Source organism: Homo sapiens, chromosome 4 (genome assembly GCF_000001405.40).
Source record: "Homo sapiens chromosome 4, GRCh38.p14 Primary Assembly".
Taxonomy (NCBI): domain Eukaryota; kingdom Metazoa; phylum Chordata; class Mammalia; order Primates; family Hominidae; genus Homo; species Homo sapiens.
Window position 1 is genome coordinate 148,057,036 of NC_000004.12, and position 16,707 is coordinate 148,073,742.

Consider the following 16,707-nt stretch of genomic DNA (forward strand, 5'->3'; position numbering starts at 1 on the left):
GTTGTGGATGACACTAAGTGCAGGCTAATGATGGCAACTGTGGGCCAACCTCTGGGGGGCACTCGTAAGTCATTCGCTTCCTTCTCAGCATAGCCTCTAGCTATTGACAAAAAGAGGAACAAGCCTAGGGGAGGAAGAAACTGCAAGCTGGCACTCAGCCAACAATGATAGTGCCAGCTCTGGCACCCAGGTCTCTCTGCAGAGTGGCAGAGTCTTAGGCATTTGTAATTTGCATGCGTACAATCCTTCAATGGCCCCTCTTTGCCTTTAGGTTATGATTGTGCCTCCTGAATATCCCGGTACTTGCATCTCTCACCATTCTTTCCATATTCCATTCTAGTCACTGAAAAGGACTTGAGGGTCTGAGATCTGTGCTGTCTTGTCAAAACAGGGTTTACTAGAAACATGACCTTGAGTAAGTTGCTTTCACCTTTCTGAGATGGTCTTCTCATATGTCATGTGGAATAATAGGGTGGTTGGGAATAAGTGTACTAGTGCCTGCCTGTTGCATCTAGCACAGGGCTAGATTGCACAGTTGTGCCTCACATGAGCCTGGGTGTGGGGAGGTGATGACGATGTTGACTATGGTAGCATCAGCTTCAGCATTAGCTCCGCACAGATGCTGCCTCCTCCAGGAAGCCCTCCTGGCTATCCCCATGGTTATTAGGTGCTTCCTCCACTCTTCCTCTGAGGGACCTTGGGCAGATCGCTACATGGCTCTCAGTGCCTGTATTATGGTTATTAATTGGGCATTCTCCACTCACTTGGCTGCAGAGCAGGTGGTGTCACGGTTTCCTGGGTGTCCCCAGGGACTAGCACAAGGCCTGACAGGAAGTCCTCAGACTGTAAATGATGAGCCAGTGGGTCTACTCCGAACCTTCCTGATGGGCAGCAAAGTCCTTCTCCCCCAACGCCGTGGGTTATGGCGACTTGCATGTCACAGGCCTTTGTTTCTCTGCACTGCTGTTGTCCCTCGGTGTGCTCGTGGGGAGCCAAACAATGTGCTTGCGTGTGGAGTTCTCCCTCTCCTGGCACTTAAGGAATAACTGGCATTTATTTGAACAGAGATTTTCCCATAATATACAGATCTACAATATTTCCTTCTGTCTTTATTAACATTTTCAAACACTCTTGCCCAGGACAGCTGTTCTAGACTTATGCTGTATGTTTCCCAGACTGGCATGAAAGATCATTTCACTAATGTGTTAGCTTCTGCTCAGAGACCTGGCAAATGAGAGTTTAGAATCTTTCATTGCAGTGCAAACTTCTGATTTGATCTCGTATTGTATAACCGTAGTGAAATATCTTGGTATTTGGGGGATTTAGTCACTTCAAATAAGCATTCATTTCTTTTCTTAATGCGTATTCTCCTCGCTCTACCCTTTTGAATTTAGATTGCATTCAGTGCTTATACAGGCTGGAATCAGGGGCTTGTATCTCTAGTGCTGCCCAAAGCCTGACCTGTGTATATTATGCAAGAAATGTTTGTTAGATGCAGGAGTTCTCTGGTGATTGGTGCAACTGGTGTCGAGTTTTAACAGTTAAGGCCCCTACTCCCTTCCCCCTTTCTGAAATGTTTGTGATCTGTCGCTGCCAGAATGTTTTTAATATGCGTGGAGCGTAGAGTCTGGTACTGGAGGCGACTGGATCACAGTTTGAATCAGAAGCAGCATGGACTGCTGATCTGTTCCATTTTCTAAAAATACACTTTGTAAAGTAACCACATATACAGCACTGTCATAATTTCATGTTTTGGGGTTTGGCCCCACTGCTGCACGTGAAAGCTACAAGGTCTTTCCCCGAAATTCAGGCCCATGTTTCCAAGCAAGAGTGTTGACTCTTTTTAAAGAAGAGAGTTTCCTCATCCTTTACACAAATGCATATTCTTTCCCTGCTTACTGTCTTCCCAGCTCTTCCACCCACCCCACCTAAACACAGGAAATGCCTCCGTGGCGTCAGGAACAGTCAGGTAGACTTTCAGTCTGTGCATTTTCAGGAACGTGTTTCCAAGTTAGCAATTTGAAATCTTCATGTGCTTTTAGTGAAACACTCTTGTTTCTATTTGTCCCCTTTCTTTGAGAAAGAAGGACGGTGATGTTGGCCTTCCGTGCTGAAGATAGAGAAGAATCCTGTTTTAGGAGATGCCTTTTGCAGTGTAGTGTGTTAAGTTGGGAAGATAGCGAACAGATATTAGCAGTTCTGTATATTTCTTCTGTCTTGGTAAACGTGGTTTCTGAGCTTTTTAGGAACAGTTGACTTCTTCCTCCATTTTCGCAAACTGCAACTTGGCTTTCAGGAAACTTGTGGCACTTAGGTACTTTTTTGTACTTGGTCAGTAGCTTGGCATTAAACAGAATTGGTGGTTTGTGCTCATGCCAGTCTTACTAATCAAAAATCCGTAGTTAAAGGGACAACAAGAAAAAAAGGCAATAAATAGATTTTTTAAATGTTTAAATTTGGGAAATGGTAGGAAAGGACTCTCAAAAATTTCATTATGTTCTAGCACATAATGAGCTTTTAATTATTATTTCACTAATCACCTTTGATCTTTTTCCCAAAGATGTTCTTTGGGAAAAAGCTGGGGCTCTCCCCTGAACCACAGAGTACAAAAAAAATGATCTGGTGAGTGTTTTAGTTCTCCCAAGGATGATACTGTCAAGAACTGTGAAGGGTCTGAAACCGTACCCTGCTTGCGAGCTACCAAATTAGCCTACCATCGTTTCCGGGATGCTGGCAGAAGGCGTGGGACTCGCGGTCAGAGCCAACAGCCTCTATTAATCACAGCAATGACAGTATCAGTGTTTTCTTGTGCCAGTTCCCTGAGTTCCAGTTCCTACAAGGCAATGCAGCTTGGGCCAGGTCACACCTACATGCCTCAAGAGAGAAACCTGGAGCTTAGAAAACCCAGATCTTTTATGATGGGTAAAGCCCACTCTTTGAGAGAGAGAGAGAGAGAGAGGGGAGAGAGAGGAGAGAGAGAGGGGAGAGAGACGAGAGAGAGACGAGAGACAGATATGCCTTAGGGCTCAGTTCTCTCTTGGAACCCAGGTTGAGGAAAAGCTGTTAGTCCTTTGCTTATGGGCTGCCATTCCAAAATGCCTCGTGTTCCTTCAAAATGTTTTAAATAAAAGAAGGGAAAGAGAATATCAGAAATTCTCTTCTAAAACTAATACTTTCCTCTACCGTTTTTTGAGAAAATGTAGGTATTACATTTTAGATGATATTTAAAAAATGTTTCGATTCTTCTTATTAAAAAGTAACCCAAAGTTTGGAAGGTAAGAGATGGTTACATAACGAAGCTCATGTTTAGTTTTTTTTTTTTTTTTTTTTTGGCCTTCCAAAAAATATGGACAGGTTGCTTTTGGGAGACACTGTGAAACATGGCATCATCTGACGTGTACTGGCTTTAGATGTGAACCCATTACACGACTTAAGTATATTTACTCACTTGCCTCACCTGATCCTTCCCAGCCGACAAGCCTCTGAAAAATTTCCTCTATCCAAGCAGCTACTGTGCTGGTTCCCAAACCTTGTTTGGCTGCACAGGTCTCTTCTTTCACAGGCTTCCAGTTGTCCACACATCTCATTGCCTCATCTCCATAGACACTGTCTCCAGCCTTGCACGTTGCCCCGTCTTGTGAATATTCCAGCTTACAGTGTGTCTGCCCTTGTGGGGTTCTGAAATCAAAGGAGTTACCTAGTAGAGGCTTCTGAGACACACCCAGGAAATCACATGCAGAAACTTAAGTCTACATGGGAAGTGTGGGAGGTAATCTTGGTGAACCGGTTAGTGCTAGATCACATAGCGCATGTGTTAAATAGCAACAGAAAGATCACAAAAAAACAAAAAAGGTGAATGTGGAGAACTTGACCCTGGACAAGGACTGCTGATTCTGTGTTCCTGTTTTGGGATGAGATGGAGAAAGCCAGGGTGCGGGACAGGCAGGCTTTTCTGTTGCGTATCTGTCATTACAGTGGTTCTTTCACTTTCTAAAAACTGAGGGGTATTTTCCCTAAACAAACACACCCACCCACCCGCGGGTGTTTTCATGGAGGTTTCCTTTTTTTTTTTTAAAGAAAGATGTGAGGATCAAGCAGACAATACCTATAAAATTTATGCTCTTTATTTTTCAAGGGCCACATAAGTGTAGTCACATAGTTACTTTATCTTCTTCCTGTAACTGTCCTCCCTCTAGGCAGAGGGATGGCAGTCATTGACGATTTATGACTCTGAAGAGCTGATGGGGGGTGTGGCAAAACATCTCATCTTCCTCCATTCACACCCTCCAAGCACCTTGAATAATTGCTGGGAGATAACTTGGCAATTGTTTGGCTAACTGTGGCCTTAATTTCCTGCCAGGGCTTCACTCACGCCTACCTGTCCTTTCCGTTCCTGATTAGTAAGACAACATTCAGCGTTCCTTTTCTGCTAAAAAAAAATGGAGTGACTTTTGTGACTGTTGATACAGATCACTTTAAGATTTATAACAAATCTTGCCTTGGGATAAAATAGATTTTATGACTCCCAGATGAATGGCTGGATAAGGGAATTGTAAATAAGCTCTTAGAAGAATAATGTTTTTTTTTTTTAAATGACCCCCTTTTTTTCCTGACCAAAGCATAGGAAAGCTTCTGTGTATTAAATACCTACCAAGTCAATTATGCACCAGATTTGTAAAATCCACTTTTGGTTTTAGAGCTTTCTAATTTGGTTGCTCCGATGTTGGCTGATGGCTCCATGTCCCCGCCAATCTGCCTGGCTTCGTGAGATCTGGAAAAAGAGTTAAAGATCTTCCTGTGGAGGCAAGAGAAATACTTGAAGGCATCAGAGAACAACCAGTATCAATGTGCCCTTTCATTTATTGGTGTCGCAGGCCTTCAGGGAAGGTGTATGGGTTAGAGAGGCCACAGGGGGAGTATTGGGGGAGGTGGAACTGGAGCTGAGCCAAGGAAGGGCAAGATTAGAGCAGGGCGGGGAGCTTGAGAGGAAAGGCAAAGCTTGAGGCGGAGGTGGGAACGCCAGGAAGCAGAGCTGTGGCAGACAGGGTAGGCTGCTGGGGCGGGACGGCCCCTGGTAGGTGAGCAGGTGCAGGAGCATTGTGTATAGGGAGACAAGTGGGTAAACTTGGCCCTAGGTTGCTGAGTGTCACCGTGTTGGAGGATTGCACCTAGGGGCTGGCCAGGAGACCATGCTGGTACTGAAGAACACGGTGCTAGTTCTCCGGCAGGGGAAACAATCTGAGAGCATGCTGAGGAGTGCAGAAGCCTCGGGAAACTGCTCGTGGAAACTGGTGTACTGGTTTAGCAGAAGACGGGGTATCTTAGGTGAAGAGCACCTGGGTGCTGCAGACAGGGAACACGTGTGTGTTCAAAATGTCACTGAATGAAACGAGACACTTCTCAAGGGAATGTCATAAACCATAGTCGCCTCCAGTTCTGAGGTCACTGAAGAGTAATTCAGATTAACACGCATCAATTATTTGAACTCTCCCTCTGTGCTTAGAGGCCATTCCAGGTGTCTGTTCACTGACCTGTTTACATTAACTTTAAAAAAAAAGGGAAATATTAAGAAATGCTCTGGTCACCAGAAGTTTTTGCTGTTCATTGGTTTCGAAGTCTTTGGCCCTCTCTAGAGGAAGCCTGAATCCAGTGGCATTTTCTTCTGAATTGCCACACGTGTAGGAGCAGGTGAAAGATCTTTAAATGTTTAGCTGATCTTTTGCAGCTGCCGGTCATGTGCTTGATGCTAGATTCCTGTGGTTTTCCTTATAATTAGAAAAAGTGAATACCTTGAATGTCCCACTACTCCTTTGATCAATTAGATTCTGGTTTTCTAATTAGTGAACTCATAGGGTGCTAGCAGGTTGGACAGATTGGAGAACCTGGAGAAGGACAGTAAGACAGCTTGAGTTTGGGGCTGTGGCTGGTTTCTGGGTTGTTGGTATCCGTAGTTTGGGCTGCAGCCCCGGCAGGATGCAGAGAGGACTCTGTCCCTACTGGTCAGGCATGATAGGGGAATTAGTGACCTAGTCATCTGGGATTGGGATGTTGTGCATTTCGTGTTCTGTGGCCTTTCTGCTATTAATCCTGTCCTTCAAACTCCTACCCTTAGCCCAGGCCAGACCCGATCGTCTATGGTCCAGTGGCTTAACCCACAGTCTCCAACCACAACAAGCTCCAACTCAGCTGTGACACCTCTTTCACCCGGGTCGTCCCCTTTCCCCTTTTCTCCTCCTGCTACTGTAGCGGACAAGCCACCTGAAAGGTACGTGGTTTGGAGTGGAATGTGGAATATGGTGGCAGCACACACAGGGGGCTTGATGAACCTGAGCAGGTTCTTGTGTTCTCTGCTGGCAAAAGCTTGCCCAGATACCCCCAGCATCCTGGACTTCATGGACAGCACTTACCACCTTGTATCAGGGCCGTGCCTCACCCAGTTCAGTAGCAAGGACGTTCTTTGGAGAATTTGCCTTACATGAGACTTGCTTGAGCCTACTCTGTCTTTGTGGTGCTGGTTGTGCATTTATGAAGAAGTTCTTATTTTGGAAGAACTTCTTGCTCATGAGTATAAAGCACATTCTTCGTTTTAAAAGTAGGCAAGCTGGCACTGGAAACATTCGCTTCCATGGCATCCAGTGGCCAAGTCCATAGAGGACAGAGCTGCTGCCCTCCAGCAGCCTCTTCCACCTGTAGTGGCTCAGGTGCTTCTTCCTGTCAGTGGCTTCCCCCACACCAGTGAGGTGAGGCGTTTCCTTTGGATTTGATTAGACTGGCTAAAAGCATGGTTTCCGTCCTTTCCATGAACGGACACAGAGGTTGCTTTAACAAATGGTGAGAAGCTGGGCCTGGTGTGCCTTTCTTGGGGCGGAGGCAGGGTGTAAATACAGAAGACTCAGGCAAGAGCAACAAGCCCCTTCTAGAGCGGTGGCCACCCGGAGTGGATCTGGGCCAGTGGTTTCTCACCTGTGGAGTGTGGCTGTGCCGCCTCCTTCTGCCGGCTGGCCGTGTGTCTCCAGGTGCGTGTGCTTTTCCTAATAGACCAACTGAAGTGCTTGGAGATAAACATGTCCTGTGGTTCTAACAGTGCTGAATGGTAGGAAAGGGCATCCCACCAGGTAGGGAGGAGAATTAGGTGAAGTGGTTCAGTGACAGCTCCTCAGAGAGGCTCCCTGAGGAAAGGCTTGAATTGGAAACCCATCATTTACTTGAAAATCAAGTACTGTTCTTAGCCTGATGTTCACTTCCACGTTAATTTCTCTTTTGGGAGGAGTTGCCCTACTGGTGACATCAGTGAGATTTGGGGAAGGGGGGTTGGGGGGTGAAGTTTCTCTCTGTTTTCCACATTTTCATTGGTGTCTTTTGTATTCTCTTTCTTTTCAGCATCCGCAGTCGGAAGGCTCGAGCCGTGTATCCGTGTGAAGCAGAACACAGCTCGGAATTATCTTTTGAAATAGGAGCAATTTTTGAGGATGGTAAGTGTTAGTGGGAGCTTCGTCTGTTAATCCTGTCCGCAGGATTAATAAGTCTGCAGCATGGAGTGAGCAGTCAGCGATGGTGCTGTTGTCGGGAGGGCGAGTCTCCCCCTTGATGCTTTGGACTGGATTAAGCGGCTGCGTTAGGCTCCCAGACCCCAATGCCAGGGGCCTGTTGTTGATGGCTGGAATGCCACTATGCTTGCTTCTTGATTACTCTCTGACCCATCTCATCTTGTGGGTCTTCATTCAGGTCATCTCTCTCCTGACGGGAAGAAGCTAGTGTCACTTGGACTTAAGAAATGTTTCTGATTTGCACACTTTATTTTCTTTGTTCTCCCAGAGTTGCTAACCAAGTCCTTTAAATGCTTCGGGTTTACCAACTCTGAGTCAACAGAGGATACTACTGTCCTTAAAAATTTTTGATTTCTATTTCTCTTACCATTTTTGTGCTTTACATTTTTGCTGATTTGAACAGTGTGTGAGTCTCCAGATTCGGGTATTGACTTTGCATATTGAAACAAGGGTGTAGCTTTTGAGGATTTAATATTCATACACAAGCATTTAGGAGCTATGCCTGGTTAAATATTTCAAAAAGTTCTCTTATGGCTCAGTGTCTTTTTTCTCCTGCTCTTGCTTTCTTCCCTCCCCAGTCCTGCTCATTATGAAATGCATTAGTTGCTGTGGAAACCGTGATGTCGTGTGTGGGTGGAGCTCCTCAGAAGAGTTCCAGGGAAGCAGTAGGAACCTTAGCTGCTTGGAATGGAATGGTTGATTATCCAGAATGTTTGGGATATGTGGAATGTATCAACACGAGGCACAGTGGTGTACTGTCAGTAATGCAGCATTTGCTGACGATTGTTTTTTAGAAAGCAAGTTGCCTCATTTAGAATAGATTTCTATATGCGTGTGATATGTACTCTTCAGAGACAGAGACTCCTGGTAGTGTCAGAAAACAAACAACAACAACAAAACCCCACATGGAACAGAATTAGACTTTGTGGAGAAATTTTGTTCTTGGAATAGAAGCAAGATCATTCCTCCATCACCATAACATACATGCAGTTTTGCCAAGAGAATGTGGAACGTAGCTGCCCTGCCCCAGGCCTGTCTCATGTTGGCACACCATATGGCTGAAGGGGAGGGTGCGATGGTAGTATTGAAACGCACTCATTTGAGAAATGTGATGAATTTTTATTTTGTGTGATTGGATTTGTTTAGAAGACTCTGAACTCCCTCCTGCAGTATGGTTTGTGAGATAGTTACCTTGGTAGAAGGTGTATCTACTAGGATACCTTAGGCTGCAGGTAACAAAAATTGACACAACTGTTTGAATCAATCATGAAGATGGATTAAAGTCAGGTGCAGTGGTGCACACCTGTTGTGCCAGCTACTGCAGAGGCTGAGGCAGGAGGATCACTTGTGCCCAGGAGTTCGAGGCCAGCCTGGATAACACAGTGAGACCCCATCTCAAAAAAAAAAAAAAAAAGGGTTGAGGGGATTAGTTTACACAATAGTAAGTGTGGAAGTAGGGAGCTCTAATTTTAATTCATAGTCTCAAAGATGTTATCAAAGACCAAAGTATTTCCATCTCTCTGTGGAACTGCTCTCTGCTGGTGGACCTGGGCCTCTGTCTTGTTTCCCTGGCGGGAGCGAGATGACTACCACAGTTCCATGTATCATGGCCACACTCTGGCGGAAGGAGGTGTCTCATCCTTGTGTTCCTTTAAGAATGAGAAAACTTTTCCAGGAATTTCTTCCTAGTTTACCCATCCTCACATCCCAGTATGCAGAACTGAGTCACATGCTTACCCTACATCCATCATTTGCAAGGATTTAGACCAATGAGAATCACACGGGGTATAGGATACCTGCTCTGGGCACACAGCCATGTGAATGAGGGTCAGTGCCTAAAGCCAATGCAGATCTGCCAGTTTGGATAAAAGAGGACAGCCTGGTAGGCGTCTGACCCAGGAGACTTACGTTCTCCAGGTCTAAAGTCCCGAGATGATTTGGAGTCTTCCTAAAAAGAAAGTGTGCGTGTACACACGTACACATACATAGTCACACATTTGTACATATGTACACACATGTGCACACAAATACCAGTGTCTCCGTGTGTTTTGGAGGAGGAGAGCCACTGACTGCAGGCAACGTGGATTCTGAACTCTGCAGGTATTTTGCCTGGGCTCACACCATGGCTTTCTTATCTTCTGTGTGACCTGGGACAGGCTCCTTTAGGACTCTGTGCAGCTGATTCTTCATCCTAAGCGGCAGGGATGGCCACAACATTGATGTTGTATTAAGATAGCATTGGGGCTACTAGAAAAAGAGGTTTCTGAGTTGCTATAGACGTATGGGGGAGAGGCTGCTGACCACGATGCCACACTGGGTACATTGTAGTGTGCCATAGACGAGGCTACGCTTTGAGCCAGTTTGTGTCTCCCTTGGTTCTGTGCTCTGCGGTGCTGGTATCCAGCTCTGTCAGGACTTTGCTGGCTGGGGCACCCCGGGTGTCTCAGGAGCTCCTCGTTCTGTCCCTCCCCTAAGGCTGGCTACTTGGAAAATACCTTGTGGATGTGTTGACACTCTCTCCCTACCCAGGGATGTGAGCGTCTCATTTAATGTGAGCTACTTGTCTTGTAGGTGCCGCCCTGATTCTTTTGCAGCAGGGCAGATAATAGTGGAAGGTGTTCAGAATCAACAGCATTAGGCTTGCTGCTTAATAGGAACACTTCTTCAAAGGGTACAGTAAGTTTAAAGCCCTTAAGCAGGGTTTATCTGTGTGTGTGTTTGCACCTTACATCTTCTGTGCATAGTTGATCTCTTAGCTAGTTAAAAGCAGGTGCTTGCCCAGAACACATCTAGTGAAGCCCTTCCTTAAATGGCTATGGGGTCTTCCTGTCTGACAACTGACACTGAGAAGACAGACTGGCAGGTCATCTGACCACGGCTTCTGTGGAGCCAGGCAGTGTTCCAAGTGGCCACTCTAGACAGCTCAGCCCACAGGAGTACTGCCGGGAATGCTCCCTTTCTGCAGACCAGCAATACTTAGTGTCCCTGGAATGCCCAAGACATTTTTCCTGTGTTCACTTATCCATTTGGAGTCTTCCAGCCTCCATAGATGCTCTTGCAGTGCAATTCCTTTTTGTACCTCATACAGGCAACAAAGGAAATTGGTTTATGCCACCCAGTGGCCTTTGGAGAAAACAAACTGGAGGTCAGAGTGACCCCTGGGCGGCCTCGTCAGTAGTTATGCGTTTGGGATGTGTGCAGCTGTGAGATATCCTGACCCAGAGTGTGGTTGGCACAGGGGTCTTTAGCAATTGTGTAGCTCCATGACTGTCCTTGTTCTTTGCTCTTACTGGGTGGGCCTGGACTTAAGTTATGAGTTCCAGTTCTAGGCGGAAGATGTGTTTCTCTAGTAGACTCACTAATGCCTAGCTGTTTCTCTGGGGCTATGCCTCCCAACTCCCCCGCCCCCCACCCTCGGGAGAGGGCTGTGTTTGTAAGGTCTCAGGGCAGTGACGTTCCTGTGATGGCCAGAGGGACCTTTCCCTTTTCTCTGGGCCTGGGGAATCCTGGAAATAGGTTTTGCTGGTGACCACCAGCCAGTCCTGCTGTGTCTTTCCAGTCAGGTGCGCTCCAGTTAGATGGGCAGTGGTTGCCTCCTCAGGGGCAGGGTTGGGAGGGGTGCTGAGGCAGGTGGTTTCCAGGAGCGACCCCACGTGGCAGCGGCAGCAGCAGCGGGACTGCTTTCCTGGCTGTCCCAGGCTCTTTGTCAACATCCACATGTAGATGTGGGGGAGCAGGTGTGGCCCAAATTAATCCTTAAAAGCCTCTGGCGATTAAACTTTAAAGGTCTCAGATAGACACAGAATAATCCCTGGAAAACAATTTGGCATTATCTTGGAAAGCTGATCACATATAGACCCCACAGCCCAGCGATGTGGTTGCCAGATAGATTCCTAGCACAGGGGAATCTGAGAAAAAAATATCGAGTGAAAAAATAAGTTCCAGATGACTATGCGCTTCTGACTTATGTGCTTCTGGTTAAGCTCACACATATGCAAAATAAATAGGATATTATTAGGGATATGTGCTTGTGTGACAAAACTGAATTTTACCCATAGCCATGGTAAGATAATGAGAAACACAACATTCAAGCTACTGGTTGCCTCGGGGTGGGAGATAGGACAGAGCCCAGGACGCAGCCTCCCTGTGGGTCCTGTGGCAGTTCTGAAGTTGAGTGTGGGTTCCTGGCACTCACCGTGTGATGATGACAATTCAGTGATTTCAGTACTTGTCACATACACTGTCTACATTATGCTGAAAACTGAGTTGGTGGAAGGGACCTGCCTCTCTTTGGTGCTACTTGGGGTCCCTGCCTCACACCCGTCTTGTTCCCTGTTGTGGTCTAAAGGCTGTGAGGACACCGTGGCTGAAGCAGGGTGAGGTTCCTGGACTGAGACCTGCAGGCATAGGGAGGGTGCGTGGGAAATGACAGACACTGAGACTGCCATGTTCTCCACCCATAAGAATGGAAAAGCAGAGCCCTGTTGTCCGCGTAGACACTGCTTGGGGGAGGAGTGGTGTGATAAACTAGGAGAGGAGCCCCAGATGGGTATTTTGGGGTTCGATGCTACTGAGAGAGGTCAGATCTTCAGAGAGGGAGGGAGAGCCTGCCAGCCTTATCTGCAACTGCGGAGCCACTTTTCCTGTGCTTGGGGATGCCTTGCTGTTGGTCTCCAGACCCTTGTAGCCCACCTCGCCCACTGCTCAGCTGGGTCCACTTCCAAGGCTCTTGGATGTTACAGGATCCCCCTTGGTCGCCTCTGTAAAGCAGTGACATCTCTCTCCCTACTGGCTTCTGCCTTCCAGGGAGGGGAGGGCTGGGGAGGTGGTGAATGGGGTTGTGGAGGCGTCTCTCTGGTTTGTTGGTTGGGGAGATGCAGGATTCCCGGCCTGGCCTTGGTTTCCCCAATCAAGCCTCCTTTCACCTCCAGCGTTGTAGAAAATCACCTTTTTCCTCCTCTGTTCATCCTGTCTTTTATTAATACCGAGTCTGTGCTTGCGCAAGTGTGTGGTGTGTATAGGGTAGGAGGAGAAATAGTGAGCATGTGCAGGTGAGACTATATTTGAGACTCTCTTACTGCCTCCTCATAGCAGGTCCTGCAAGCTAAGTGCTAGTAACCCCGTATTGCAGGTAACAGCCGAGCAAGGCCCAGGGGTTAATTTCCCAGATGCATCTAGGTAGCCAGGAGTCTCCTCTAGGGCTCTGACTTCAGCCCTGGGCCCCTTGCCACTCAGGCCCCCACATTGTTACAACCCTGAGGGCCTGTTTTGCATAGAATCCAAAGCTTTTCCCTGATGGTGGCTGCACACTAGTAGCACTGCCAGCTGGGGTGTTTGGATGAAGTGAGAAGTCTCTAAAAATCCTGGTATGAAGAACAATGTCAGAGTCAAGGTCAGTGAAGGCATGAAGGAAGTAACTTGCTGCCAGATCGCTTTGAGAGCACATCTCTGAATTTGCTTACTCAGTCATTACACAGATAATCATGTGTCTGACACGGTGCTAGGTGCTGGGTCTCATGTTATATGTGTTACATGCTCTCATAGTCTGGACTAGAAGAGAATGTCTCAGTGTGTCTCTCCTATATATACACGTATGCCTGCACACACGCACACAGAACATGTAGGGTGCATAACTGGGAGCCCCGACCTGGTCTGGAGCCAGGAGAGGAGTCCTGGAAGTGGGGGGATGCTGAAGCTGCTCTTTGAAGCATGAGTAGGTGCTGTCCAGGCATAAAGGCAGGGAATAGCATTCAGGCCCAAGGGAACAGCTCCAGGGAGGCGTTGAAGCCAGAAGCTTACTGAATGTAAGGAAAGTGCAGGCGGTTAGTCTGCAGACAGCCGGAATGTGTTCCTATTCATCCAGGGGAGGGAAGAACAAACAGTTACCTTGTTGCAAAGGACAATTAGAATTGGATTGTCCCTGTCTTCCAAACTGTGGGCAGCTATACCTTAGAGGACCATGAACTCAATTCGCTGAGTTGCAATTAGCATTCAAAGAATAATACTTTTCTACACAAATCTATGGGGAAAAAAAGAGTAGAATACAGAAAGGAAGGCATTGCATGCGCGCAGTGAGGGTAAGAGTATTGCTTCATGAAACTTGTGTGTGTTACGGATGTGTATGCCTGTACTTGGTTTTTGATATGAAATTATTCTCCTGGGTTGTGATCAGAAGCCACCTTTCGAGTTGGTCCGCTGGAGTAGCTCATGCCTCCCCTTTCCTTTATGCCACGGCTGCCACGCCTGCACCTGACCATGGTTGGGGGTTTGAGCTGGGGCCTGCTCACAGCTGGGGGTTATGAAATGCTTCTGTATTGCATTTCCGAACACTGGTGAGGAGTGCTTGGACCTGTGCCCTTTGCTGTCCAGGCTGCAATTTTCTCGTTGAGTATCACGTGAATATTTATGAACAGTCCATTGTGCCAGGCACCATGCCCAGATGTATAAGGCTCAGGCTGCCTTCAGGAGTTTCCCATACAGTGTGGGAGTCAGACGAGACTCTGAGAGGAGGAGGCATCCAATCAGGTCTCTAAACAGGAGGAACTACCTGGTGAAGAGGTGGGGGAAAGGCATTCCAGTCAGAAGCCACTGCACTTGCAAAGGCCTGGAGTTGCAGTTGGGATTTCTCTGGATGATTCACTGCAGTTGACATGCATGATGTGCCAGTGGAGTGTGAAGAGCTCCTGGAGGGGCGGCTGGAGCCAGGTGCCCAGGGGCCTGTGTTACAGACCAGTAAGGAGCTTGAGTTTGAGGCTGGGAGTGGTGGCTCACGCCTGTAATCCCAGCACTCTGGGGGGCCAAGGCGAGTGGATCACCTGAGGTCAGGAGTTTAAGAGCAGGCTGGCCAATGTGGTGAAACCCCATCTCTACTAAAAATACAAAAATTAGCCAGGCATGGTGGTGCGTGCCTGTAATCCCAGCTACTCAGGAGGCTGAGGCAGGAGAATTGCTTGAATCCGGGAGGCAGAGATTGCAGTGAGCCGAGATCGCGCCACCGCACTCCAGCCTGGGCGACAGAGCGAGACTCCCTCTCAGGAAGAAAACAAACAAACAAACAAAAAAAAACACAAAAAGCTTGAGTTTGACTTTAAGCAGGGGAGTGATGTGATCAGCTCTGTGTTCTAGAGAGTTCACTGTGCATGTTCGTGCACAGTGGATTGGAAGGGGCCGGACTCTGGAAACTAGGACACTAGTTAGGAGGCTGCTTTGGGATTGTGTAGATGAGGATTGTGGTGGCCAGTGCAGGGAGGCAGAGCCTGTCAATGACCCTGGTGCAGACTTTGTGACCCAACATCCCAGAAGTGGCCCCTGTTCTCTACTGGCCACTCCCTGCTTGAGCTTTTAAGTGAACACCCAGGAGGCAAGTACTTGGGGGCATTTTGTAAAAGTGATTTTTCTCTTCCTTTTCAGTACAAACCTCCAGGGAACCTGGCTGGCTAGAAGGGACTCTGAACGGCAAGAGGGGGCTGATTCCACAGAACTACGTCAAGCTGCTGTAGCTCCTGGCCTCAGAGCCCCTGCTGACCCTGGCACCCAGGGACCTGCCTGGGGGCAGAGAGCTGTCTTCCTCCTCCGAGGCTCTGGGCTGCACCCACAGGTACCTCCACACTTGGGAGTTACCATCATCACAGTCAGCCCTGGGGGTGGGGGGTGGTGGGCAGGGATGGGACGCACCACACAGAACTGTGATTGTGGATCAGGAGGGGAATGTCAGGATTCGCAAAATGGACTTTTCATTTGTCAAGTATTGGGACTTGTGATTTTTAATTATCCAGCATATAGAATGAGAGGGAGGGCAGCCTTCTGCCACCTGTGTCGCCTCCACTGGCAGTCACGCCACCAGAGCCACCCTGGCTCCCTCTCCTCCCTGAGCACCTGCTGCTGCGATTTTAAAGGGAACTGTACTACTCGCAGTGATAGGTTTGCAGAGTGTGTGCTTGGCTGTGGCAGCCTAGCTTGGAGAAGCTGCTGTTGGTGCAAGGGAGATGGTCTCAAGTCAGAGGGAAGCAGAGACGCGCGTCTCAAGCCTGCCCTTCCTAGACGGCCACCTGCAGGACCCCACACTCACTGCACTGGCAGCGTGCACTGGCGTATTTGTAACAGGCTTCTCGGTGCTCCTCACCCGTGTGCTGTTTTCCAAACACCACCTTTTTGCCTCAAGGTCTCTGTAAATGAAATAAACTGTAATTTACTATTTGATTTGTCTGTCCTAATGTGGGGAAGCGGTCGTGGAAGTCATTGCCCCGTCTTGATTTATGAATTGGCAGCCTACGATGGGGACTCGTCTCTCTCTGCTGTTGGCCTGCTCACAGGTAGAATCTGTTAGCGGGGAGCCTGGAGTATTCGGGGTGGGGCGTGTTCCTGGGGGCAGCAGCAGCCTCTGATGTGTGCAATCCTGGAAGGGCATTCACACCTCCTCCAGTGGCTGCACAGGCCTCTCTACCCTGGTGCCTGCAGGACCTGGAGCAGGGCTGGGGCTTTGGCCCTGGGTGGTTTGTGTGAGCCATCTCAGTGCCCTGGGACCAGCCGTCCTACCAGCACCATTGTACACCCCTCTCCTACACCACCCAGCATGCCTCTGCCTTCCAGGCCTCCCTGCTAATCTCTCCATCTGGATTAATTTCGACGTGGAGGGAGGAGAGGGAGGCAGAGCAGACCTTCCTGGAGGAGCCTTCACCCTTGACCCTGCCCTGCCCCGTGATGATGGCCACCCCCAGCCTGGGCAGGCCTTGCTCTGATGTTTCCTCATTCTCCTCCACCTACAAGCCACAGGTGCAACAACCTCTTGGGGAAGAGGGGACTTGCCTTGGAATGTGGGGCTTAGTTTTAGTGGCCTCAGGATTCTGAAGCCAGCCCCATGCCCCAGAGGCTGCTCTGGGGCAGGCATGACTTTCCATGCATCCCCATGGGAGGTTCCTGGACCTGTCAGACTTCTCTCAAACATTTATCAAAGGACGGATGTGTCTGTTGCCTCATCCCCAGATGAACTGACTCAAGAGCTTGCCAGTTAACAGCTTGGAAGTCACCTCATGTGGATCACGTGAGGGTGTGGAGTTTGGGAGTTGTATGTGTATGGGGAAATGTGATTCTTGAAAAGTGTCCGTATTGTAAATAAAAATAAGGACAATTTCGATGCAACATAATTTAAAATAATCACGGG

General features: G+C 48.2%; 1 protein-coding gene across 5 annotated transcripts in view; it reads left to right on the forward strand.

Moving 5' to 3' along the window:
* Positions 1–15,741, forward strand: part of ARHGAP10 (Rho GTPase activating protein 10) — a 340,689-nt gene extending 324,948 nt beyond the window's left edge. For 4 of the 5 annotated variants that reach the window (NM_024605.4, XM_047416160.1, XM_047416161.1 and 1 more), the window contains 3 exons: positions 6,113–6,265; positions 7,381–7,472; positions 14,958–15,741. In NM_024605.4, the coding sequence (NP_078881.3) occupies positions 6,113–6,265; positions 7,381–7,472; positions 14,958–15,046 (334 nt within the window). In that variant the 3' untranslated portion in view covers positions 15,047–15,741. The remainder of the gene's footprint in view (positions 1–6,112; positions 6,266–7,380; positions 7,473–14,957) is intronic. The other variant, XM_005263215.4, reaches the window with a different exon arrangement.
* The last annotated feature ends 966 nt before the right edge of the window (positions 15,742–16,707 follow it).